The 25,374-nt window shown below is 38.6% G+C and overlaps 1 protein-coding gene across 22 annotated transcripts in view, besides 1 other annotated feature; it reads left to right on the top strand.

The window, feature by feature from the left end:
* The window catches only part of GRIP1 (glutamate receptor interacting protein 1), a 721,908-nt gene that overhangs the window by 460,103 nt on the left and 236,431 nt on the right, over positions 1-25,374 (top strand). For 20 of the 22 annotated variants that reach the window (NM_001379351.1, NM_001379349.1, NM_001439323.1 and 17 more), the window contains exon 2: positions 12,309-12,389. The exons of the other annotated variants lie outside the window; for them this stretch is intronic. In NM_001379351.1, coding sequence (NP_001366280.1) covers positions 12,309-12,389 — 81 coding nt within the window. The remainder of the gene's footprint in view (positions 1-12,308; positions 12,390-25,374) is intronic. 22 annotated transcript variants of the gene reach the window in all.
* Positions 24,528-24,764: a silencer, noted in NCBI's record as "fragment chr12:66978252-66978488 (GRCh37/hg19 assembly coordinates)". NCBI's record gives its function as "represses an EF-1alpha promoter that drives an FKBP-Casp9 reporter gene in an ReSE screen in both phorbol 12-myristate 13-acetate-treated (for megakaryocytic differentiation) and untreated K562 erythroleukemia cells {active_cell/tissue: K562 | K562(+PMA)}" and the evidence as "EXISTENCE:reporter gene assay evidence [ECO:0000049][PMID:32094911]".

The raw sequence follows: 25,374 nt of genomic DNA, 5'->3' as shown, positions 1-25,374 counted from the left end.
TGTGGCGACATTGGGAAAAGGATGGTCTTTTGTTTCAGGCAGACCTAAGTTAGAATCCTGTCTCTGATTCTTATTAGCTTTTGATAGCCTTAGACAGATTTGTAACTGAGATTCAGTTTTACAGAGATTCAGTTTTAGTATCTGTGAAATTTGAGGTAATAATACCCATGATTGTAAAAGTAAATCCCCTACTCAAAGGAGTTCACAGCATAGCAATAAGCAGGTTGATGATTTTAAGGTAGGATTATAAGTGCTGTAAAAAAATATATATATAATATAATAATAATAATAATAATAATAATTTGTTTCATGTTACTGTGGGATTCCTACTGGTCCTTGTCTATCACTCAGCTTCCTCATCTATTCCAGATAAAGGAATAGAGCCACCACTTCTTGAACTCAGACCACTCTGGGTACTTTATTTACACTGCTTTGTTCAATCCTCACAGCAATCCTATGTGGTCGTTACTATTTCCATTTTATAGGTGACGAAACTGAACCTGTCCGAGGTCACACAGCTAGTAAGTGGTAGAGCTATGCAGTACAGTAAAACTCTAGTGAGTTGAAAATGGTGTTGATGTTGTCCATACAAAAACTATGTCTGGGCTGGGCATGGTGGCTTATGCCTGAAATCCCAGCACTTTGGGAGGTTGAGGCTGGCTGATCACTGAGGTCAGGAGTTCGAGAACAGCCTGGCCAACGTGGTGAAACCCCATCTCTACTAAAAATATAAAAATTAGCCAGTCATGGTGGTATGCACCTGTAGTCCCAGCTACTCAGTAGGCTGAGGCAGCAGAATCTCTTGAACCTGGGAGGTGGAGGTTGCAGTGAGTCAAGATCACACCACTGCACTCCAGCCTGGGTGACAGAGCAAGACTGTTGAAAACAAACAAACAAACAAAAAACCTCTCTCTGGTCTAACACTTTTGTGAGGTTTTGTGTTTATAATCACTATCTCACTGTAAAACCAGAGAGTATCCAAACTACAGCTTTGAATAACAAAAAGCACAGACTCCCTGGATTCTGACAGCCGTGATAAATCCTACTTTAATTGTGCATTAAAAACACATGTCATCTGTTTGATAAGCAGTCATCTGCTATTGCCTGATCCAGCAATGAATTAATAAAGCAAAATATGTGACAATTCAAGTCATGTGTATGAAATATGTTATTCCCAAGGCATCCAAATGTGATTTCTGCCCCTGCCTCCCTCCCCACCTGCTGCCCACATGAGACAAGAAGGTGTTGGTTCTAAGATGGTGTATAATGACACTGGCCTGCTCTTAGGACTTGAGCTTAAATTTGGGAATTTTCAAAACTAAAGTCTATAAAAAAGTGAGTTCTGAGATAGGTCCTGAAATGATCCAAGGCCAGGAGGGATGACAGTCTTGGAAATAATGGCTAGTGGGTTAATCACCTTGGTTTCAAAAGTTCCTCAGAAAATTCTTAAGTCTAGCAAAAAATTCATGCCTGTCTACCCAGTGACTCTGCTGCATGAGCTACTCCTGAGTCTGAGAATTGAGGTGGCAGCACCTCTGCCATGGAGCTTGGCTCTTTGTAGAGATGAGCCTGGAGAGCCAGAGGGTAAGGAAAGGCAGACTCAGCGATCTCCTTGCCAGCTACACAAGTCATACCACCATTTTCTTCATTGTGTTGCTAGATGTGGCCTGGTCCAAGATTTATTCCCCACTCTGGCTACATGAACACTCATAAAAGGTTTGAAATATTGTAAGCAGAAGGCCATGAACTTGTTGTCTAGAATACTAAAGGAGAAAAGAGAGTGTCCCAGTATTTATTCATTTTAAAATGATAAACCATTTATAGGAACAAGTTCATAAATCCTCTATCTGTAGAGAATGGTTGGCTCAGAGTGGGAGTTAGAGAAATAAATTCAGCCAGATTTCATCTTCTAAAATGCTTGGAGCTTCTTGGCTAAAATGCATTCATTCAAGTGATTTGTTTATGTGCTGGAAAGAATCTTGCATCTTATATCATAAATTAAACCAAGAATTCATGATGAAGAAGTGATGTCTAAAAATTGGGTGAGGTGATATATTCTTTTCTAAACTGCAATTTCAGAAGATCTTCAAATGCAGCCCCAAGTCCCTATATCAGTGACATTTAGTCATGCAGAATATACACAGTAGTGGCTACTATGTGAAGGAGTGCCTTTCTTTATACACACATGTGCGCGTGCACACACACACACACTCTCTCTCTTTCTCTCTCTCTCTCTCTCTCTCCAAGTAAGGATGTGAATCAAATTTTGGTAAACAGTGTATCGTGGTGGCTAAGAGAGATACGTATGTTAAAGCTTCATTTTTGCTTGTTGCTTCCAGGGTAAATTTAGGCACATAATTTCATCTCTATAAGCCTCTGTATCCCCATACTTCAAGTTATGTAATTGTACCTGTGCAATTACATTGTTGTGAGTACTGATAATGTATGTGAGGTACCAAGCAGAGTGCTAGGCATGTAATATGCCTGCCCTGCCCTAGGCTTTAATATAATAGCAGTTCCATTTCAGATTTGCCATGCAACCTATTTAGATGAGGACAAATTCTTTCTTAAAACCACTACTCCTTTTGTAAAATGGAATTATCTGTTTTGTTATTTTACATTTTATTGAGTTATTGTGAGAAGAGATAAGATTATACATATAAAGGATTTAGACTCATGTTGGCATCTCATGAATGCTCTGTAAGTATTAGCTCTAATTATTTATAAAGTTATTAGTATCATTTACATTAAAAAGGCTTCTGGTTGACTGAAGTACACTCAAACTGAACTCAGAATGAAATAACAGATCTCTAAGAAATTATTTAGATTACTTATAGAGGAAACCAGTGGGATTGCTGTTTAATGAAAGAGGCATCTAAAAATATATGATTATAATTAAACTCTCATTTTTCTTCGTGTAACTTATACCCCTTACATACAACCAGGGACATCAACCTGAGGTTTACTTTTCCTGCCATCGACTTTGCACTCTGATAAGTTCTGACTTAATCCATTTTCTCCATTACCACAAAGTCCCATCACCTATTTCACTGTTTTAAAAATTAATGAAAATTGATGCCTGGAAAAATCTTGGTTTCCCTTGGCTTATTGGGAACATCCTTTGGACCATTGTTTCTAAGGCCGTTACACACTTAAGACACGAGAGAGGGAGTTGAGAGTTGCACAGTGATTTTCACACATCTAGGCAATCACACATAGCCCTTGTTCCTCAGTCAAATCAATGACCCTGGGAAGAATCATCTGTGCTCTTAGCTCCAAAATGTTACTCAAGGTTATAAATATATACTATACATTGTCCCCTTGTTATTCCAGGATGCTAGATATAGAGGCATTTTCATTTTGTGTATTGGAAACTGAGTCTAAACAGTGGTGATAATACTTTTATTTCCATTTTATTTAGAAATTTCTCAGCAGTGGTGACTATCTGATCAATTATTTATATAATTTGCCTGCAGTTGACATGTATCAATTTACACTACACTTGATTAACAGAAAAAAAGAAGGAAAGATCATAGTGAGCCACTGAACCAGGTTTTAAAGTTACCGAAGTTATAAAGTTTTATCCTGTCACCGATTGTCAGAGCAACAGGTGAGAGCATTAAAGGCTAATTTCTCAATAATCAAACATACACAGGAATGCTCCGCCCCACAGATATATGTGGATCATTTTCCTAGACATCAGTGCTCATTCACACACTGGCACAAGATTTAGACCTCTTCAAATGAAGTCATCCTGATTGCATTTTGCTGCTGCTTGTTTTCCCATCAGTCTTGACTTCATTCTAGCAGCTATCATACTGAAAATTTCTAAATATGGAAACCTTTGCAGTAATGTCATGTAAAAGAAGGACTCTTGAGAGCCCTGATTTAACAGAAAGCTCCCTCTTTTTCTCTACGGTTTACATTAGAAATCCAAAAACGTTCCAAACAAGGGGCAAAAAAAGAAGCAATTTAAGTAGTCAAGAGATATAATTGTTTAAATGATTCAGTTTTGAAACTAATCATTCTTATTTGTTTAAAAATCACTTTCAGTCTTTTCCATGAGAACATTTTAAACATTCTTTCTTGAATTATCTAAGGAAAACCTATGTACTATTTTAAATTTTCCCCTAAATTTACTGCAGTCCAAATTGTGAATATATATATATGTATATATATATATAAGTGACTTCTGAATTTCATATTCATTAGTTAAAAAAAAATGGAGAAACCTTAATTACTCCAAATGTATTATTGATTTCTATTAATCCTACCACTCAGTTGCCATTACATGAAATCAAACACTGGTTCTTATCCCTCCAGGAATACTCGGATATGTTCTAGCAAGTTTATACCTGTTAATACATACTTTTTCCTGAAGAATAGTGTGCTTTTTAAACAAGAATTTAAAATGTGATTTTAAATAGCCAGTACTCATTACTCTGAGGTAATCCAAATTTTGCACCAAATTGTCATTCTAAAGCTAGTCACTTATTGAACCTATGAGAGACTGAAAATGTCAGCTGAGGCAATCCAAATTTTGCACCAAATTGTCATTCTAAAGCTAAGCATTTATTGAACCTATGAGAGACTGAAAATGTCAGCTGGCATAATCTGATGGCTAAACCAAAGCTTTAAAGCACATAGCCCTCTCACAAAGAAAAAATGTGAAAGATATACTGAATTTAAGATTTTAATGTTTTTAATTGGGATCTGATATGGTCATGAAAATGAACTTTATGGAATACATTCCAGCCCTTGACAAATTTTGATTCTTCGGTGATGAGGCAGGTCTGTGACTGCCATTAACAGACTGGTTCAGCTGTCCTTGCTGGAAACAATATTAGGAAGAAGCATAGGAGTTATCATTTGTGATTCAGACACATTAGGAATAGGAATGCCAGAGGCAGAAAATGTGCAATTTCATGCTCATTAATTTCAGAGAGGATTTACAAATTAACCTGGCTAAAGATATTACTTTCCCAAAAGGCCTGCAGGCATCACTGAGCAGACTAGCTAGCACAGACCACTTCCACAAGGTTGTCCAGATGCTCCGGGGCCATCGCAGTTCTGTTTGTCCCTGTGTGCAGATCAGAGGCTGGGTTCTGTGCTGGAGCCCTTCCTGGTTGCAGGAGAACTGTGCAGATGCAAGGAAGCAAATTTGTATCTGAGGAGGAAGAATTTAAGGAGACAGTGCCATGGAAGATTCTTCCCTCATGTCCCTGCCATGAGGCAGAATATAACTTTTTATTTTCATTTGACCTTTACTAGCTAAGGGGTAGTAATTCAATACCATTTCCTCTCTCCACCTTAAAATGTAAATTGACTAATAGATTATTATTACAATCAGTCACTTGCTCCAGTGAATCTGACCTTAGATAGATCTAGTTACTCCTATAATTCAGCCATTTCAGGATTGTTGAGAGGTTTAAAATGGATCAAGGGAAGATTGAATTCACTCAAAACCATACCATTACAACAGTTTCCTTTCCATTTGAAGAAACCATTCCATGAGCAATTTGATCATTGCAGGCCTGGGGATACTCTTGGAATTTGCTGATATGACTGGCATTCTGCCAGCTGCTTTGTAGGCTGCCTCTGATGCAACCAAGTGAGACATTGGAACAGGTGTATCCTCACTACCTGTGCAGTTGCTGTTGGTCGTATCAGTTGGAGCAGGGCTTTCCAAACATGAACGTGCATACAAATAACCTGGAGATTTTGCTAAATGCAGACTCTGATTCCCTGGGTTGGGGTGGAGGCTGAGATTCTGCATTTTTGACAGTTCCCAGGTATGCTCCTGCTGCTCATCCATGGTCCACATTTTGAGAAGCAAGAGTTAGATAATAGAGCAGTAGGGGAAGAAATGATCTTATAACACAGGCCTAAAACAATGTGAGCTATATTGTTGCCATTCTTTTTAGCTTCAATATTTAATCCCTGAAGTGTTTATCAGATTATGGTTAATTAGAAGACATTCTATCATTGTGAAGAAACCACTCTATATTTGTTCTTAAAATGAAATTGTGCTCTGTTTGGGTGTTTTTTTTTTTCCAAAGTTCAAAAGTAAAAGAAAGCCAGATGTGGTGGTTCATGCCTATAATCCAGCATTATGGAAGACTGAGGTGGGAGGATCACTTGAGGCCAGGAGTTTTTGAGACCAGCCTGGGCAACATAGTGAGACCTAGCCTCTATAAAAAATAATTTTAAAAAAGTCAGGCTTGGTGGCATGCACCTGCAATCCCAGCTGCTCAGAGGCTGAGGTGGGAGGAGCACTTGAGCTCAGGAGTTTGAGGCTGCAGTGAGCCACGATCATATCACTGCATTCCAGGCAGGGTGACAGAGTGAGACCCTATCTCAAAAAAAAAAAAAAAAAAAAAAAAAAAAGCAAAAGATCTGGTCCCTTTAGGAATATAGAGCACATTTGTGTCTGAATTATGAAACAATGAGGAAACCTGCAGAGTCAAGGATAGACATTAATGCCATGCAGATGCAAAACAAATAACAAAAGGGAGGAGGGAAGGTAGAAGGGGGAAGTCATCTTTTCATAGGAAAGAGACTATCACAGGGAAGCACACTGCCTCTGCTTCTTGCCATCAAGCTCAGATCATTCCCTAATCTTCTGGTGTAAACTTAGCTGTATGGACCACTCCATCAGATTAGGGAAGGAAATGAAATGTTGCAGCCTCCACATACCAAAGCTGTAGAGCCAAAGCCTGTGTAGGACTTGGCAGCCTTCTGACTCTAGGAGAGATCATGAATGCACTTTTTGCTTGGCCCTAGAAAAATAGGGTTATTTGGATCAGGAATTATGAACAATTTAATTTCTTTAAATTATGCGGGGCCCCCGTGATTGTAGTTACACATCATTTTAGCAAGAAGAGAAAGATATAATTAAGCTCTGTTGTCAAAAAGCCTTAACAGTTATCCTTCAGGAAATCTTGCTTAAATTTCAAAGTGTGCTGTCAAACCACCAGGGAAGCAAATGGAACTGGAAGGCTGGTGTCTATGGGAGAGAAGCAACCATGATATGTTCATGCTGACTGGGATAAAATGTTCACAGGACCCAGTTACTGAAAAGATTATGGCTCCCCACCACACAAAACTACCATGTTATCTGAAAGCCTAAAATGGCTTGTTTCTTGACTTTTCTGATTAAAAAACCATAGATAAATTCCTAATGGTGGATCTCCCTTTCTCATCCTGTGCTTCACCTCCACCTAACCCTAAGCCCATGCTCACTCACCCCGTCGGGTAATCCAGTACCATGTTCTAGTCTCAAATGTAGGTAGTAATGATTCTGCCATCACCACTCCACTGAAGGTGTCATTATCTTTTGTGTATTTTTAGTCTTAGTTTGCACATAGTAGGTACTAAATTGTGTGGCATTTAATTGAATTCAAGGGACAGATTGTTTCATCCACAGCGGATTTTATTTTGTTCATTAATGGAAACCAGACTTTTCTTTCAAGTTTGTAAGGACATGCATGAACACTGTGGCATGCCCTGCCTGTCTCCTCTCTGCTGGGAAATGGTCATAATGTTTAACTGCACCAAATGCCTTATTTTTTCCTAATCAAGATGTTAAGGGGGTCTGCTGGCTTAGCAGGTGCCTCAATTGTGCATAATTAGTTGCTAGGAATTGTTTAGCATAGGACGATTAGTCTCAGCCAAAGGAAATTAAATTTTCTTTCTTCAGCAAAGCTTTGAACACAGCTAGAGATTCCTGAAACCATATTCATATCGGGTGCCTCTGCATAGCCCAGAGTGAGAAATGAGAGTCTCAGGAAATGGAGAAACAGGAACCAGCCTGATGACACAAGGATGCTGTTTGATACCAAGCAAACGTTGGAGGATTTGAGAGCATGAGGAGACCTGACTCCCTTCCTCACAATGTGATTCTCCCAGCTCCAGCATAGGCAGTTTGTGATGCAGAGTGAAGCATTGCTCCTTAGGTGCCCACTGGTTGCTTTCCAAGTTTATAAACACCAGCTTCATGTGATCAAAACAAATGATCTGTGTTTGCCCCTCCAGTGTTTGGCACATGAGGAGACTGGCCAAATTGGGGGGAATGAGAGGGACAGATGGTCCCTCCTATTGTTCTTCTTCTGCTTTAAGTGTATGCTTGACTAATGCTTTCTGTGCCTTTGTCACCATGTCAATTCTCCCTGTTAATGGAGGGCATTTTTCCCTAGCCTCATGAGATGTCACTCTAAAGGGACCCATGTTCTTCCTTATTGTGACCAACATGTAAGCCCCTGTGGAGGGCCATCATGTGTGACGGTGATTACCTAGCTGCTAAGATGTCGTTAGAAAAGGCTGGCAGTGCTGATACCCTGAGATGCCCTTAATGATTGCTTGGAGCATTCATTTCAGCGAGCAGTAGCTCACTAGCTGAATGTCTGCTTTGCCCCGTAGTGACTTTTAGTGAGAATCCCTTGTTAATATGATCATCGAAGTCTGGGCTGAGAGTCTGCTATGAAAATCATAATTCTTTTGTTTAAAGACATTATTTTAAAGGTTGGTCAATAAATCATTCTATAATCTGAATGAAAATGGAAGGAAATATATGTAGATACCATTTTTATAGTCAGATTTTTCACATTAAGTCAATACTTAATAGCTATTGGATGATAATGTGACTTTAAAAGGAATAGGCTATCAACCTAGAAAAAGAAAAGCAGAAGTAGGAGGGAATATAGCTTTATAACAAATGTTTCACTTTCTTCAGGTTCTTTGATTACAATAAATGCTCTAGTTTGAAAAAGTGAATATAATTAATTCACATATTTTATCAGCAAACATTTAGTGAATGCCTACGATGTGCTAGGGATGGTTCTGATTGATTTCTTTCCTTGTCATTTGACCTTTTTTTTGTTCGTTTATATATCTGGATGTAACTTGAAAGCCTATTTAGTATCTCTCCAATGAAACAAAGGAAAATTATTAACATAGATCTTATAATTCAGTGACTCTTTTAAGGCTCATCCTGGGGATCAGTGAGCTATATTGACATTGCTTTTGAATTTTATCTTCAAGGAAATGAACTGAAAAGCATAAATTAGTTCTGTAGTACCATTTGTAAGTGTTGTTTGCTTTAGGCAACAAATATGTGGAGGAGGGAAGAATGGGATTTATATACACACGAAAATAATTGGCTCTGTGGCTCAGGCTCCTTTTCAAAGGCTTCACTGTAGCAATTAACTTACACCATACAAGGTCTCTGCTGGTACAGTGTGCCCACTCACTCACTCCTGTGACACAGCAACATGTGGACCCAATGACTTATGAAATCTTATTGTCTATCTAAAAGGAAATAAGATAAAGAAGAAAGAACATGGGACTAAGAACATAAGAAATTTCATCTAGACTCAATTTAGATGTGTGCCCTTCTATAAATTTATCTTTCTGGGCCTTAGTTCCATTTATAATGAAAGAGTGGTCTAGATTATCCCTTATAAGCATGAAATTCTAGGGATATATCTATAAAGCTGCATTTAGAGACGCAAGAGAAGATAGAAGCCTCCATAGTTCTCCATGACTTTACGCTCAAGGGTTTGAAATGCACCCTGGACACTCTTGTCCTTTAGTATCCTACTGTGGAGCCATCAGCCACGGATTCATTCAGTGTGTTTTCTCCATTTCTATTTTCAAACAAGTTTGAATCAAGAGTTGACTTTCAGTAAATCACGTCAAGAGAGCTGGTGTTTATTCTGTGATGGGTAGCTTTTTATAAAAGGCCATGGTGCCTCTAAGGTATTTAAAATAAAGAGACACTCTTAAGGAAAGTCTCTTAAAAACCAAGTGTTACATTGTGCCATGCTGCTCTGCTGCTATGCCCTCCTTAACTCTGATGATCAATGTTGCCAAGCCTCTGCCTCCCTTCCATTAGGAATTATTGCTTTTACACTGATTGGCTTTGGCAGTGAGGGTGAAAGCAATAACACTGCTTGGGACAACATTAGATAACACTGAACTTTTTCATTCTGATCCTTTAACCAATACAAGATTTGGCTTCTAGATAATTATTTACTTTTGCCTGTGCTCAGTAAGTTCACTCTTGATACTGGGAGCAGGAGTGGAGGTTGGGGGTGGTGATGGAGAGGCTGGCCAGGTGGTCATCTATAATTCAGTTTCAACCTTTTAAAGATGTGCTCAACTAGACTATCTCAGTTCTAAATCAAGGAAGTTGTTTTCAAATATAAATGAGAAAACCATTTTACCAGGGTTCACTACTTCTGAAATGCAAACTGGGTACATTTCTAAAGAACTAGCTCCTTAAAATAGAGCATCAAGTGCAGATAACCCCAGAGTCTCCTGGGAAAATCTCTTATTGCCCTTTATAAAAATCCAACACTGGATTCAATTCAAGACTTTAATTGGCTGGAATCTTGACAAATAGAAAACTGAGGAAATCTTTTAGGCTTCCAAGATGCCGTACCTAAGCCTGGTTGTTGTGATTATTTTCTGGCTCAGTGCTCTATGCTCATAAACACACTGTTTCAAGGTTTTGGACAATGAAAGGAAATACATTTTTAAAGCAGTCTTATAAAGAATCCCAGGTTTTAATACATAGTACGTCTGTTTTAAAAGGTGCTAAATGAAGCATATTGCCTGTTTATTAACACTGTGAGAAAAGCGCTCAAATATTCAAGTGACAATGGTGAGGCAAAGGGAGACTTTTATAGTGTAATGTTTACATTTTGTATTTTGTTTTGTGGATTTTAATTATACTCAAAATGGTGTTTGCAAAGAGAAGAGTCGAAGACCTAAGATACCACTTCTAAAGCAAAAGCGATATTGATTGAATTGGTATCTGAAAGTTGGTAGTTTATCTTTATGGTTGGAAGAATATAAAAAATTGTGTGACAAATTAAATATAAACATGAAACAGCGTGACTTCTATTTTTTAAGTTAATTGCCACTTACAGCAGTGTTAATCTTTTCCTTTTGTCATTGCGTATAAAGACCTTGTTAATTTTATGAAGAAATCATGAATCATTTCAAACCAGAAGTTCATCCTAGAGAGGAAATGAGTTCCTCAATTTTGAAACACAAGCTATTTAGTTGGGAGAATTAATATTCTCAGATGATAAGGCCTTGTTCTGAATAAATCCTTGTTATATGTAATAGTTTGTCATGCACAGTATGGTTTCTTTAAATTCTTTAACGATTTCCTGCTATTATAAAATGGTAACAACAACGATACATCTTATAGCGTGGCCAGCAGTGACATTTAGATTATCTAGCTTGACTGAATATGCTAGATAATTATTTTACATTCTATTTACTCAAGCCATGTGCATCTTATTCTTGAAATGTTTAAGGGTGTTATTCACATTTCTTTTACTTTTTATAAATGCCACCATCCCAATTAGGAAGAATTGTCCTTTCAATTTTAACCTTAATATTTGCCATCCTAGATTACTACTCCTTTATTCCTAGTCAGATAAAATCCTTTTCAAGGTTAAAAAAAAATCACCTTACTTAGAGCTGGATGGACCCATTGTCTCCATGATCTTGTCACCTGCTGTTTTAGTCATTCAGCTTCTTACCTAACTCTCACACATACATTAAGCTTTAGACCTTCTGTCTTCTCAGTTGCTCTTTTAATAATTCTGCAAGTTATTTTCATCTCTTTCTAAAAGAGCACAAACCAGCTCATTGCAATATATGTCTTCTTTTGCCAAACCATCGTTCCTTCCCTATTCTCAACCTAGCTCCTCTGGTCTTCCCTCTGAACATCTCTATCCCTCTGCTTTGCACTGGCTGCCAGTTCACACTCCCAGGAGGAACCTACTAACTCTGAGTGGCTTTATTTCCCTTGCAATACTAACTCTCTGTCATCTGCTTATCTGAAATATTACCTTCCTTTTTACTTTCTTTGTTCTTCTTTCTACCTGATTATTCTTAGTGCCCATTGAACCATTTTATTTCTTCTTTGTCTTCATTACACCTATTCACTGGTATTTATTTATCAATAAATGTAGGTGACAAATAATTTGTATACTATATTTGCATACTTCTTACCGTTTCATAAATATCTTCACGAGCACTATAGCTTTTGATCCTGACAACCCTAAGAAGTAGATGAGAATTTTATCTCTCTTTTATAGGGGAAGAAACATATTCACAACATTTTCAAAGATTTATCCCACAGCTAACCCAAGTATAGGACCCAGGCCTACCGACACTTTCCACTGTACTGTACCACTTCTCTCTCGCAGAAGGATTGCAATCCGTTAAAAATCTTCACTGCATTAGAAACTGGATGGAAATTAACCAAACGCTTCATTGTACCTTTGCAGATGAGAGTCCCTACACTAAATCCGCCAGCCAGACAAAGCCGCCTGATGGAGCGTTGGCTGTGAGGAGACAGAGCATCCCAGGTTAGACCAGACTGTTGGATTTTTCAGCTGTTTTACTTTTGAATCCTGTTATTTGGTGATTCTAAATAATTCCAACTTGGTAAAAATAATAATAATAATAATAAATCATGTTATTTCACAGAGCATAGACTGAATTCTACAACACTTGTTCAAACAATATTCATAAAAGCTAGACTTTGGAAAACCTTGCCAACTTGTGAGAATTCATCTTGTAATCCATCATTGTAAAATCCTTTGCAAAATGACTTGAATTTGTATCAACTCTACTCATTTACTTACTCTCATCTCATTTTCAGGGGATGACTTTCACAATAGCATCCATTTCTTTACTGAGCCATAGCTGGCAGAAATAAGGGATTCACAATTGCCGCAACAGATCATGTATGCTGAATGCAAAATTATTCTTTTCTTCTCATCTCTTTGAACCTGAGTTTGCTTCCATTGGACAGCTCTTATAAAATTTGTGATTTTGTTTCCTTAGGAAAGTGTGAGTCATATTATTGTAATACAATGAGTCATATATATGTCTTTCCAACAAAACATTTTGAAGAAATATCTTTAAATGTCTTTACCCCAAAACGTCAATATTTTGAAGCTTTGATTTGTGAATGACACAAAAACATGTAAGTTCTGAAATTAAAGAGGAAAGGAAATTCAAAATGCTATTCAAACAATCTGAACTAAATAATTCATGGAAAAATTCCTTATGGAAGCAATTGTACTTAGAAGAGTTAAAAGCATTAATGCATTTAAACGTTTATGTAAAATGATGTATTATATATTTTATACAAGCAAATTGAGTACAGCTAAACCTCAGCTACAGGATTTTAGAGTACAATAGTTTTAGCAATTCAGGAGAAACAAAGTGGTGTTTCCTACATTAACTGGAATGGTTTGGCAAATGTGTCAGTGAAAGGAAGAATTTTCCATTTGAATAAAGAGCAAGATGAATCCCATTTGTGAGTAACTCTCTTCATGATTATTCTTTATTTTTATAAAAATTTCAGGTGGTTATTTTCACTCTTATTCCAAAGGCTCAGATTCATTTTGAAAGTATAGGACTTATGAAGACACATATTATGAATATGTTATACATCCTTGTTTTGGTGCTTTGAAGATTCTAAAGCAATTTGAATTCTACAATTAGATGGCATCACCCAGTGCCGAGATGTCTTCTATTTTATCCTATAAAACATCATTCTTCATGCTGGTCGCATTTAGAAAAACTATTACAGTCAGCTCTGGACTGTGTTATCCTCTTTCTCCTTGTCAGCATTAAAGAAATATCCCGTTTGAAGTTCAAGAATATCAGTTACCCATCAATTCTTTCTTGGCTACCCTACATTCACTGGTACTGAGTATTCCACTGCTGGGAAGAAGCAGGAGACTTCCCAGTGTCCTTACAACTCTATGGGATACTAAGCAAATATGCTATTATCAATGTTTTCTTTTCATGGGTTCTCTAATGCCACATTCTAAATGACAACACATTTGAAGGCCTTCCTTTTTCTTAAAGTCATAAAGTAGTTTTTTAAGTTACATGTTAAATACACAGAATTGGTTCATCATAATCCCTGGTTTGTGGCACACATTATTTTTCATCATGAATTTTGTTTTTTCCTTCTCTTTATGTTAGATTTAAAAGTCACTGGAATCATTAACTGTTGGTGAGTTTTACGAGATGTTTTCCTGGAGCTTGACCATTGATAGAACCCTTTTTGTTCATCTCTCTTAAGGTAGGGGCCAGAGATATTAGGAGTGTTCAGAATTTTCTTAGTTATTTAGAACAGTTCAAGAAAAAAGATTGCACCAGCCAGAGGGCTAAGAAACCAAAGTAGTTAACAGTAGATTATTACTTAATAGTATTTTAGGGAGAGAATTAACAAACTTCTTGGAAATTGCCTCCTGACTGACTAATGACTCATGGAGTTCTGATCCCTTACTGTCTTACTTAAAAGTACCTATGAACTTTTGTTCTGGCAAAAAGAAGAGTATTCTCAGATCTTTGGCCAAGAAGTAACTTAAAGAGAGGTGAAACCCAACATCCAGAAGTCTTGAGCAATCACCTACCATGTCCACTTGTGCCCCCACTAAGTCCATGAGAGAGAGAAAAATGCACAGAGGAAAAGGCCAAGTAAATGTATCCTCTTTATTATTTACCAGAGCTTCAAATGAAAAATCCTGAAGTGGTCTCCTGACCACTCCTGGACTAAGCTGGACCATATAGAGCTGTAAGCACCAGAATTCAGGAGAGTCCAATCTTTTAGCTTCCCTGGGCCACATTGGAAGAATTGTCTTGGGCCACACATAAAATACACTAACACTAATGATAGCTGATGAACTAAAAAAAGTAATAATAAAAATAAAAAAGAATCACAAAAAAATCTCATAATGTTTTTAAAACATTTACAAATTTGTGTTGGGGCACATTCAAAGCCGTCCTGGGCTGTATTACAGCCTATGGGTTGTGGATTGGACAAGCTTAATCTAGATGACATTTACAGTCTTAGTCTCCTTCTCCTGTGCTCACTCCCAATCCTACTTCCCTCAAGGTATTTTTAACACCCCGGTAGCATGGAAAGATGCCTCTAGAGAAAAGTGCACCAATGAAAAGAAGCCCTAAAGGAGAGTTTGGCTAATGTACTAGTTTCTGACCTTCTCCATGCAGAGGCCCCTCCCAAGTAAGATGCAGCTCCAGGGCCATTGACCTGTCCCAGCTGCTGGGGAGTAAGCAAACACAAGGAGGCTGAAATCTTTTTTTTTTTTTTTTTTTTTTTTTGAGACGGAGTCTTGCTCTGTCACCCAGGCTGGAGTACAGTGGCACGATCTCGGCTCACTGCAAGCTCCACCTCCCGGGTTCACACCATTCTCCTGCCTCAGCCTCCCCAGCAGCTGGGACTACAGGCATCCACCACCACACCCAGCTAATTTTTTGTATTTTTAGTAGAGACGGGGTTTCACCATGTTGACCAGGATGGTCTCCATCTCATGACCTCGTGATCCGCCCACCTCAGCCTCCCAAAGTGCAGGGATTACAGGTGTGAGCCACCGTGCCCAGCCGAGGCTGAAATCTTAACAGAGCTATGGCTTTTGCCTATATCTCCCCTAAAGCTCCACTCCCAGTGGTCCAAAGTTGATGACTGGATTTGACCGTTCATATTAGCACTTTCTCTGATGAATGGGGTGGAATGCAGTGGAAAAAGAGTGTAAAGTAGCAGAAGGCACCTTAAGCTTCTCTATCTAAGTTTTATGATATTTTAAGCTGTTCTTTGAAACTTATTCTATAAATGTAGATCTGGTGCTTCCTGAAGTTAACATTTATATACATACACAGAAATAAGGCTTCTTAATATAGACTCTACTATTTCCATGACTAATACAGAGTAACTTTAAACATTTCTGTCCTAAAGAGGTAAATCTGAATGTTAACAGAATCATAATTTGTTTTTATTCATGTCAAAATATATGACTCCTATCTAAACTCAGAATAACTACAGCAGTTATTTTATAATCACAAGCCAAATATGTGTCTTTCATTAAATACCAATTCTAACCGTAAATCCTTTTATCACCCTCCTTTCCTCTTCCTGAAAAAGGAAATGGATTAAACACTCTTAGGAGCAAAATGCGTTTGCTTTCGATAAAGGAGAAATACATTATTCATGTTATTTGGGAACTTGTCATTTTAATCATGTCTCATATGGCATTAAATGTAAGAATAAAAGGATTTTTTAGTTTTCCATAAGGTTTAATGAAAATTTTAATATGGATGATAGTAAAAAATGACATGAGTGTCCCTATGACACCAAAGTTTAAGTTTGTATTAGAGACTTAATATTTGATTAAAAATATTAGGGAGATGTATTTTCAATTTCATTTCTCCCCATTAGTTTTCAAAAATAAGATAAATTCCAAGGACAAAGGTATTCAGAACTAACAGATTCTACCATATATCAATGTTTATTAAAAAGAATCTATTGATTCTCCTGTATTTGACAGATTACTGGTGAAATGAAGTTTGACCACTTGAAGGGTTTGTCCAAGTCATTAGAGAAAATCTGTACAGACTTTGAGTTTGGCATATTTTGCAATAATTTGTGGTCTTGCCCACTTAGAGATGAGGCATTTAATAATGTCTGTCTCATTTGTGAAGGGAAGACAGGATACTACACTTGACCTCAAAGCCTAGAGTTAGTATATTACTTATTTGACTTGCCTCCTCTTTCTATATAGGACATCTTTTTTTGCTTATGTCACTCTTGATTAATTGCCCAAAGAATTCTGGACAATTGACAAATGCAGGAAGATGTCAAATATTCATATCTATTACATTTCTAAACTTTGATGCACCCAGGGAAATTTTCTTAAATCTGTATCCAGAATAATGCCATGAATGTTTGTGTGGGATTTCTTTTCCCCTCCTAGACTGTAAGAAATGCTTATCAATTTGGTCTTAAGGGAGTACAGTTTACATCAGTCTTTGTTGTTGCTCACATTTAGGTATTTGGAAGTGGGTAGTAAAAATATGAAGCTGAGAATCTAAAATGTCCAGTAGCCCAAGATGTATACAGTCAAGCTGATTAGAATGCATCCAGGAAATTCAACATCTGTTGAACAATCAAAGTCTGGAAAATAATCCCCATAATACCATACCCTTGACACCAGGGAGGAGCTGGTAACCTTAAGTTAAGAGGCTACAACAGGAATTTGAAGGTTCTGCCCTCTCTGTTCCAAATGTTTCCAGTCTTTTTTATTCATATAATTAGATGCTTCATTTGTGTAATTTTTTATTATTACAGAAGATATATAGTGTGACTTTTACACTAGGACTTTACAGCTATACCACTGTTCAGGTGTGTAAATGCCTGGTTCTGCTTCATCTGGTTAGTTCTACTATTGAGACTCTCCAAAAAAATGAGTGACGCCAGAAACAGTGGCTTACACCTATAATCCCAGAACTTTGGGAGGCCAAGGCGGGCAGATCTCTTCAGCTTGGGAGTTACAGCCTGGGCAACATGGTGAAACCCTGTCTCTACAAAAAATGCAAAAATCAGCTGGGGATGGTGGCATGCACGTGTGGTCCCAGCTACTCAGGACATTGAGGTAGGAGGATTGCCTGAGCCCAGGAAATCAAGGCTGCAGTGAATCTTGATTGCACCACTGTTCTCCAGCCTGGGTGACAGAGTGAGAGCCCCTCTCAAAAAGTAAAAAATAAAAATAAACAAAAAAAATGAGTGCATCTCAGGGATGAGAAACCAAAGTCAGTTGAATCAAGCAAGTATGAAATGTCATACAAAGTACACGGTTGCTGCCCAAAGAAACTAAGGCAAAATCTGCTATTAATGAGGACATGATCAACATGGGGAAAATACCAAGGGATAAGTACCTTTGCTTCTCAGTTGGGCTGTCCCTGTATCCTCACAAGCTCCCAGTGGGCCAAAGTGAGGACAATGAGAACTAAGGGCCGGGTGTACTCTGCCAAAGCCATTCAGTGTCAGCCTTAAGAAAGAACCTAAAATTATGTTTACGAGTGTTAAAATTACTGAATATTTAAGAAAGTAGCTAAATTACATTGCTTCTTTACAGATAAGTTTCTATGATTATAAAGTCAAGACTGATAGCATTGCAAATATACCTGAGATTCTGTCCCTCTCCCATGTCTTGTTTTGTTTTCCATAGTAGTTATCGCTATATGAAATTAACTGATAAATTTATTATTTTTTTATTTCTCAGTCCCTAGCTAAAATGTAAGCTACAGGAGGGCAGGTCCTCTATATCTTGTTCACCTGTTATCTCCAGTGCATAGAACAGTGCTTAGTAAATGTTAGGTATTGGATCAATACTTGTGGAATGAATGAATAAGCAAAAGTCAGCAGGTAGATTTTCTCTGTGAGGAATCTGTGGCCCTAAGACTGGCATACTTTCCTACAAAAAAAAGTGCAACAAGTTCTCTGTTGACCACATGTTTTCTGTCTCATTGTATGCTGCAGCAGATTCTCACATTTGGCCTTGAAGCTCCACCCAACATGACATTTCCAACAAAATGCCTGCTGCCCAAGACTAATGAATGGAATATAGGTCAGCCAGAAGCTAGAGACTTTGAAAAGCCAGAGGTTCCCCCCAGCCTCATTTGTTTCTGTTTGCCCAGAAAATGTCTGTGCAGTCCTAAAACACCCTAGGAAAAAGTTGAGCACCATTTAATAATAAAATTGACAAGATAAGAGTGATTCATTCACATGTTCTGCTTGTAGAAAAGTGCTAAAAAATATGAGGAAAAACCCTAGTCTATAAATAGAGCAATGCAGAGCCGAACATATTACTTATTATGGCAGGTACGCATTAATTATCTCCTCCAGAGAACTGATCCAGTTTGCTATGTGGCTGGGAGTACATACTGAGTGCTCCTCAAATAGCACAAGGCAAAACCAGCACCTTGATTTGTGTGTTCAGAGCCATAGCTTTCATTAGTGATTTGGAGGAATGACAGTCTATTATGTTTGAACTTCTTTCATGCCTTAGTAAACATTGGCTGAAATACAATAAAGTGGTGCATATGCAGCAAGTGATTTTTAAACAATAATTCTTCCAGCATGCAATTTAGGGGAAATTTTTTTGTGGTGACTGTGCTTTGATATTTCCCGAATCCCCGTTTGGGTACCCCTTTGTCACAGGAGAGGTGGCACTTGGTCAATGTTGTGCTCCAGGTACATGTGGTATCGGAGTGACTCTGATGACAGCTAGCAACAGCCTCCAGTGTCAGAAAAATTTTAGAGGCCGACTGAGGATATGTCCATAAGAGCTATAAGGAAAAAGTCTCTTCCCTCTATTACTTTTGCAGTGAAAAAAAAATTAATTCTCTCATTCCTGGGTTTGGCTAGACCTTCAACCTAGGGTTGTAGGTGACTTCAGAAAATTAAATTGGGTAAAAGATGTATGGCTTGATTGGCACTGAGGAAAGTGAAGAAGCATCTTACATAGATTACTGTTGAATAGAGAAGTTGGGCCTATTAATACTCTTTTCTTATCTATTGACCTTATATTGACTCAGAACAGCTTCCCAAATGTCAGTTACTCACATGTCATCCTCATGATTTTTGTTATATATTTGTGTTCCACCTATACTATAATTAATATTATTTTAAGTAAGTTTAAATTGGTATACTTCTTTACTTAGGTTTATCGTAGGCTTTACTCTCTGTAATTTTATATGCTAATCATATTTTTCTAATATAAATAAATGTTTTCTAACTCTGAAAATTAAAAACAAAGGTTTCTATGTCACCTTAAATCATCTTGCATCCATCAATATTTATACACACCTACTTTGGGAAACACTGACTTGGAATGAGATGCTTCTCAGAAGACATGACTTTGACAACCACAAAACTTCACTTTGTCAGTAGTCAGTAAGTAGTTGTTGATTTGTAGTGCAGAAACATGTCATTTGAATGACAGTGAAAGGCTTTGGGGGCTTCTTTTAACAAATGAAAAGAAACGAGAAAAGAGAAAGAGGAAGTTGAACAATATTACGCCAAAGCTTAGGGAATAACAAGAATGAAATGATCATAGGAGTAACCTAACCTAGAGCGAGAGTAAGAGAGAGAGAGAGACAGACAGACAGAGAGAGAGAGAGAGAGAGAGAGAGAGAGAGAAGGTGGGGGAGGGGAATAATTATACAAGTACTAGTTACCATGTATTTCATGCTAAGTACCAAGTATTGGACTAGCCATTTTTATGAATATCATCTCATTTCTTCCTCAGAAACATCACCGGGGGAAAATAAGTTTTATTAATTCCCCTGTTACACATGAGCAAACTGAAGTTCTTTTATTTATTTATTTATTTATTTATTTATTTAATTTTTTTTTTTGTAGGAGGGGGACACGGTCTTGCTGTGTCACCCAGGCTGGAGTGCAATGTTGCAATCTCAGCTCACTGCAACCTCCACCTCCCAGGTTCAAGCGATTCTCCTGCCTCAGCCTCCCGAGTAGCTGGGATTACAGACGTACACCACCATGCCCAGCTAATTTTTGTATTTTTAGTAGAGATGGGGTTTCATTATGTTGGCCAGGCTGGTCTTGAACTCCTGACCTCATGATCTACCTGCCTCGGCCTCCCAAAGTGCTGGGATTACAAGCGTAAGCCACTGCACCCCACCAGCAAACTGAAGTTCTGAGAGCTAAAGTCGCTTGTCTAAAATTACAGGGCTAGAAAACGGTAGACCTTGGATAAACCCCAGTTAAATATAAATTTTGACCATAATCCTGAGTAGTGAGGGAAGGGAAAAGGTGGTGAAGAGAATCCTTACTTAGAATGAAATGTGAAGACTGACTTCTCAAGGCCAGTTGAGCCTCTGCTCAGAAGTATCAAGAAAGTGTGAGGTGAGCAGAAGCCTCTGAATGTGGGTGATCTCTGTCCATCCAAGTCACAGACTCCATCCATCTCAGTCCTCATTGACTAGAGCCCTCAATTAGAGGGGGGTTAATGAGTAATGGCTTGGGGTCACAGGGCTCATGCCATTATCTCTCTAAGTAACTGAGTACCAGGAGAAACCGAGGAGGCGAACTACCAGGGCTTCGGGTTGTGTTACAGTTCGTTCCATACACTTATGCCTTTCAGAGCTTTCCAGTCAAGGAAAAAAATTAAAATTGGCCAAGAAGGCTTTTAACTACTTATTCTGAAACTGGTAACACCATAACTATGCTTTATGTTTCCCCTTTAAAACCACAGAATAATGCAAAGCTGTAAAATAACACCGAGAAAATGAAACGAGTCACTGTGTTCTGTGGCATCATAGTCAGTCTTGACTCACTGACTCTGATAATATCTATATATAAATATATAAAATATATAAGTGATACACAAATTCTTTTAAAATCAAATATTCTTATACATTTCTAAAACCTATTACTGGGCTACACATTAAACAGATGTTATAAAGATTTCCCCTTCAAAATGTGGGTGGAAATACTTTACAGCACCTGGCAAAGCTCTTTGCTCTCTTTAGCAGTTTGATTGCACCCCTGGAACCCCTCTGCCTTCTGCACGGAATGTAAACCACTGACACATTGATCCCTTGCCCTTCACCCGTGCACACTCGCTGCATTCTCCTTTTTGCTCTGGCCCATCCTTTACTTGCTCGCTACATCCATTATAACTAAAATGATCTCTCACTTTTTGATTCTGAGTGTTCCTCTAAACTGACCCTCATACATTCATTCAACATGTAATTATCCAACAGTTACTCGTTGAGCAGTCACTGTGTGCCAGGTACTGTTCCTGGTGCTAGGAATATAGATGTGAATCCAGCCTATTAGCCTCTGTCCTCCTGGAGCTGGCAGGCTAGCAGTTGAAACAGGCATTCAGCAAACATTGAATGCCTGGCCTAAGGTCAGGCTATGCTATGTACAATAAAGGGAAATGAACTAGTGTAAACAGTAGAGAGTGTGGGAGCAGAAAGTTATGGGGTCCATGCTCAGATAGAAAACCTGAGGCCTCCATTGCCTCCAAAGGCCAAGGTTGGCCTCCATGAGCTGGTGACTTTGGAGTAAGCCTGAAATGAGTGGTGAGAGTGGTGAACCACGTAATGATCTGGAGGAAGAGGATTCTAGGCCAAAAGAAGAGCAAATGCAAAGTCCCTGAAGGCAGAAAAACCTTGGCTTTTAAATAAACAGAGAAAGAAACTTCTGCTAATAAGTGAAAAGAAACAAGAAAAGAGAGAGGAGGTTGAACAATATTATGCCAAATTGAATGGCTGAGCATGGCCAGAAACTGGGAAGCAAGGCTGAGGGTGTAAGGGATGAGTCTGGAGAAGAGACAAGGCTGTGTCCTGTAGAGCTTTTAGGCCATGGTAAGAGTTTGGATATTATTCTGAGCAGTATAGGAAGCCATTGTAGGGGTTAATGTATTGATGTAATTTCTTTTTTGTTTATTTTAATTTCTCTAACTGCTATATGGAAAATAGACTTTAAGGAGACAAAAGTGGAAACAAGAAGACCAGTTAGCAGGCTGCCACAGTATTTGAGGCAAGAAATGATGATGGCTTAGACTAGGAGGTAGAGGTGGAAGTAGTAAAATATGGTCAAATTTTGAAGAAAGAACCTAAATAACCTACTGACAAATTGGATGTGGGCTGAGAGAGGAAAAGAGAAGTCTGGGATAATTCCAGGGTTTTTGCTCTTAACAATTGGGTAAATACTGATGCCATTTACTGAAACAGAAAATAACCCAGGAAGAAATGGATCAGTGGAACAGGGGAGTGGGGAACTCAGAGGAGAGCTTAGGTGGAGATAGAAATTTTGAAGCTCTCAGTTTGTCAATGGTAGTTACACCCTTGAGGGTGGGCGACAGGTCTTCTAGGTGGCACAGATAGATTGAGATGAGGTCCAAGGTTTGAAACTGGGGCATACTAAGCCTCAGAGGTTGGCAGTGAAGGAAGATTCAGCCAAAGATATGAAGAAACAAAAGCAGTGATTATGAGGATCAGGAGAATGTAGTACCCTGGAATCCAAGTTATGAGCCACATGTCACTAAAGAGGGAGAGAAAAACTAGGTCAAATATTGATGATGAGATGAATGAGAATTGGCCATAAGATTCTATAAGAAGAGAGGTTTGGTGACCCTGACAAAAATAGATTCGGTGAAAAGGTGGGAGTAAAAGCCTCATTTGAATGGGTGGAGGTGAGAATAGGACTTGAGTAACAGGCAGAGAATGTGGACAACTCTAAACAGAGTTTCTCTATCAAAGGGAGCAGAAAAATGGGAGAGTGGCCAGAGGGAGCATGTGGTCTATGGAGAACTTTAAAATATATACATAAGAGAGGATGCAGCATGTTCGTGTGCTGATGCGGATGATATAGTGGAATGAGAGAAAATCGTGCAGGAGGAAGAGGGGATAAAAGCAAAAGCAGTCTTTGAAGAGGCAGGGGTCAGACACTTCTCAAAAGAAGACATTTATGCAGCCAAAAAACACATGAAAAAATGCTCATCATCACTGGCCATCAGAGAAATGCAAATCAAAACCACAGTGAGATACCATCTCACACCAGTTAGAATGGCGATCATTAAAAAGTCAGGAAACAACAGGTGCTGGAGAGGATGTGGAGAAATAGGAACACTTTTACACTGTTGGTGGGACTGTAAACTAGTTCAACCATTGTGGAAGTCAGTGTGGCGATTCCTCAGGGATCTAGAACTAGAAATACCATTTGACCCAGCCATCCCATTACTGGGTATATACCCAAAGGACTATAAATCATGCTGCTATAAAGACACATGCACACGTATTTTTATTGCGGCATTATTCACAATAGCAAAGACTTGCAACCAACCCAAATGTCCAACAATGATAGACTGGATTAAGAAAATGTAGCACATATACACCATGGAATACTATGCAGCCATAAAAAATGATGAGTTCATGTCCTTTGTAGGGACATGGATGAAACTGGAAATCATCATTCTCAGTAAACTATCGCAAGAACAAAAAACCAAACACCGCATATTCTCACTCATAGGTGGGAATTGAACAATGAGATCATATGGACACAGGAAGGGGAATATCACACTCTGGGGACGGTGGTGGGGTGGGGGGAGGGGGGAGGGATAGCATTGGGAGATATACCTAATGCTAGATGACGAGTTAGTGGGTGCAGCACACCAGCATGGCACATGTATACATATGTAACTAACCTGCACAATGTGCACATGTACCCTAAAACTTAAAGTATAATAAAAAAAAAGAAGGAAAAAAAAGAAGTATATCTGAATATCATAATTGATAAAATAATAAAATAATCAAATATAAAAAAACAAAAGAGGCAGGGGTGCATCCAGTGTGCACCAACGGGTCAGCGGGAGGGAAGGCAGTGTGGAAGGGCATAGAGGCAGGAGGGTGCTACAGTCCCTGCTGAGAAGATGTGTGAGTCATCTTCTGATTGCTCTATTTCCTTAGTGAAATAAGAGGTGAGGTCATCCACAGAGAGTATGGAGGGGAAGGAGATGTTCAAGGCGCAGAGAGAGAGGAGGTATCATTTCAAAGACTGGGAGAGTGGATTACCTAGGACACTGTCAGAGTATTACCCTGCAGTGCAGTATAGCGCTAACTAATAGACCCCTCTTCCTTCTTACAAACCCTGCCTCCTCAAATTAAAAAGGGACAAATTAAACTTACCCTTCTAATGCTGAGGCCCGTGACATTCCCATATAGCATATTCCATTCCACTGGGTTCTCTCCTCTAACTTCTCCCTTCCATAATCATTTTTATAACACCCAGAATATTTTATTTTATTTATTTCCCCAGCTGGCATGCAATGGCGTGACCTCAGCTCATTGCAACCTCCGCCTCCCGGGTTCAAGTGATTCTCCTGCCTCAGCCTCCCGAGTAGCTGGGATTACAGAGATGTGCCACCACGCCTGGCTAATTTTGTATTTTTTTTTATTATACTTTAAGTTTTAGGGTACATGTGCACAATGTGCAGGTTAGTTACATATGTATACATGTGCCATGCTGGTGCGCTGCACCCACTAACTCGTCATCTAGCATTAGGTATATCTCCCAATGCTATCCCTCCCACCTCCCCCACCCCACAACAGTCCCCAGAGTGTGATGTTCCCCTTCCTGTGTCCATGTGATCTCATTGTTCAATTCCCACCTATGAGTGAGAATATGCGGTGTTTGGTTTTTTGTTCTTGCGATAGTTTACTGAGAATGATGATTTCCAGTTTCATCCATGTCCCTACAAAGGACATGAACTCATCCTTTTTTATGGCTGCATAGTATTCCATGGTATATATGTGCCACATTTTCTTAATCCAGTCTATCATTGTTGGACATTTGGGTTGGTTGCAAGTCTTTGCTATTGTGAATAATGCCGCAATAAACATACGTGTGCATGTGTCTTTATAGCAGCATGATTTATAGTCCTTTGGGTATATACCCAGTAATGGGATGGCTGGATCAAATGGTATTTCTAGTTCTAGATC

This window comes from Homo sapiens, chromosome 12 (genome assembly GCF_000001405.40).
Source record: "Homo sapiens chromosome 12, GRCh38.p14 Primary Assembly".
Lineage (NCBI taxonomy): Eukaryota > Metazoa > Chordata > Mammalia > Primates > Hominidae > Homo > Homo sapiens.
Note: the sequence above shows the minus strand (reverse complement) of the source record. Positions and strands in the feature narration are given on the sequence as shown.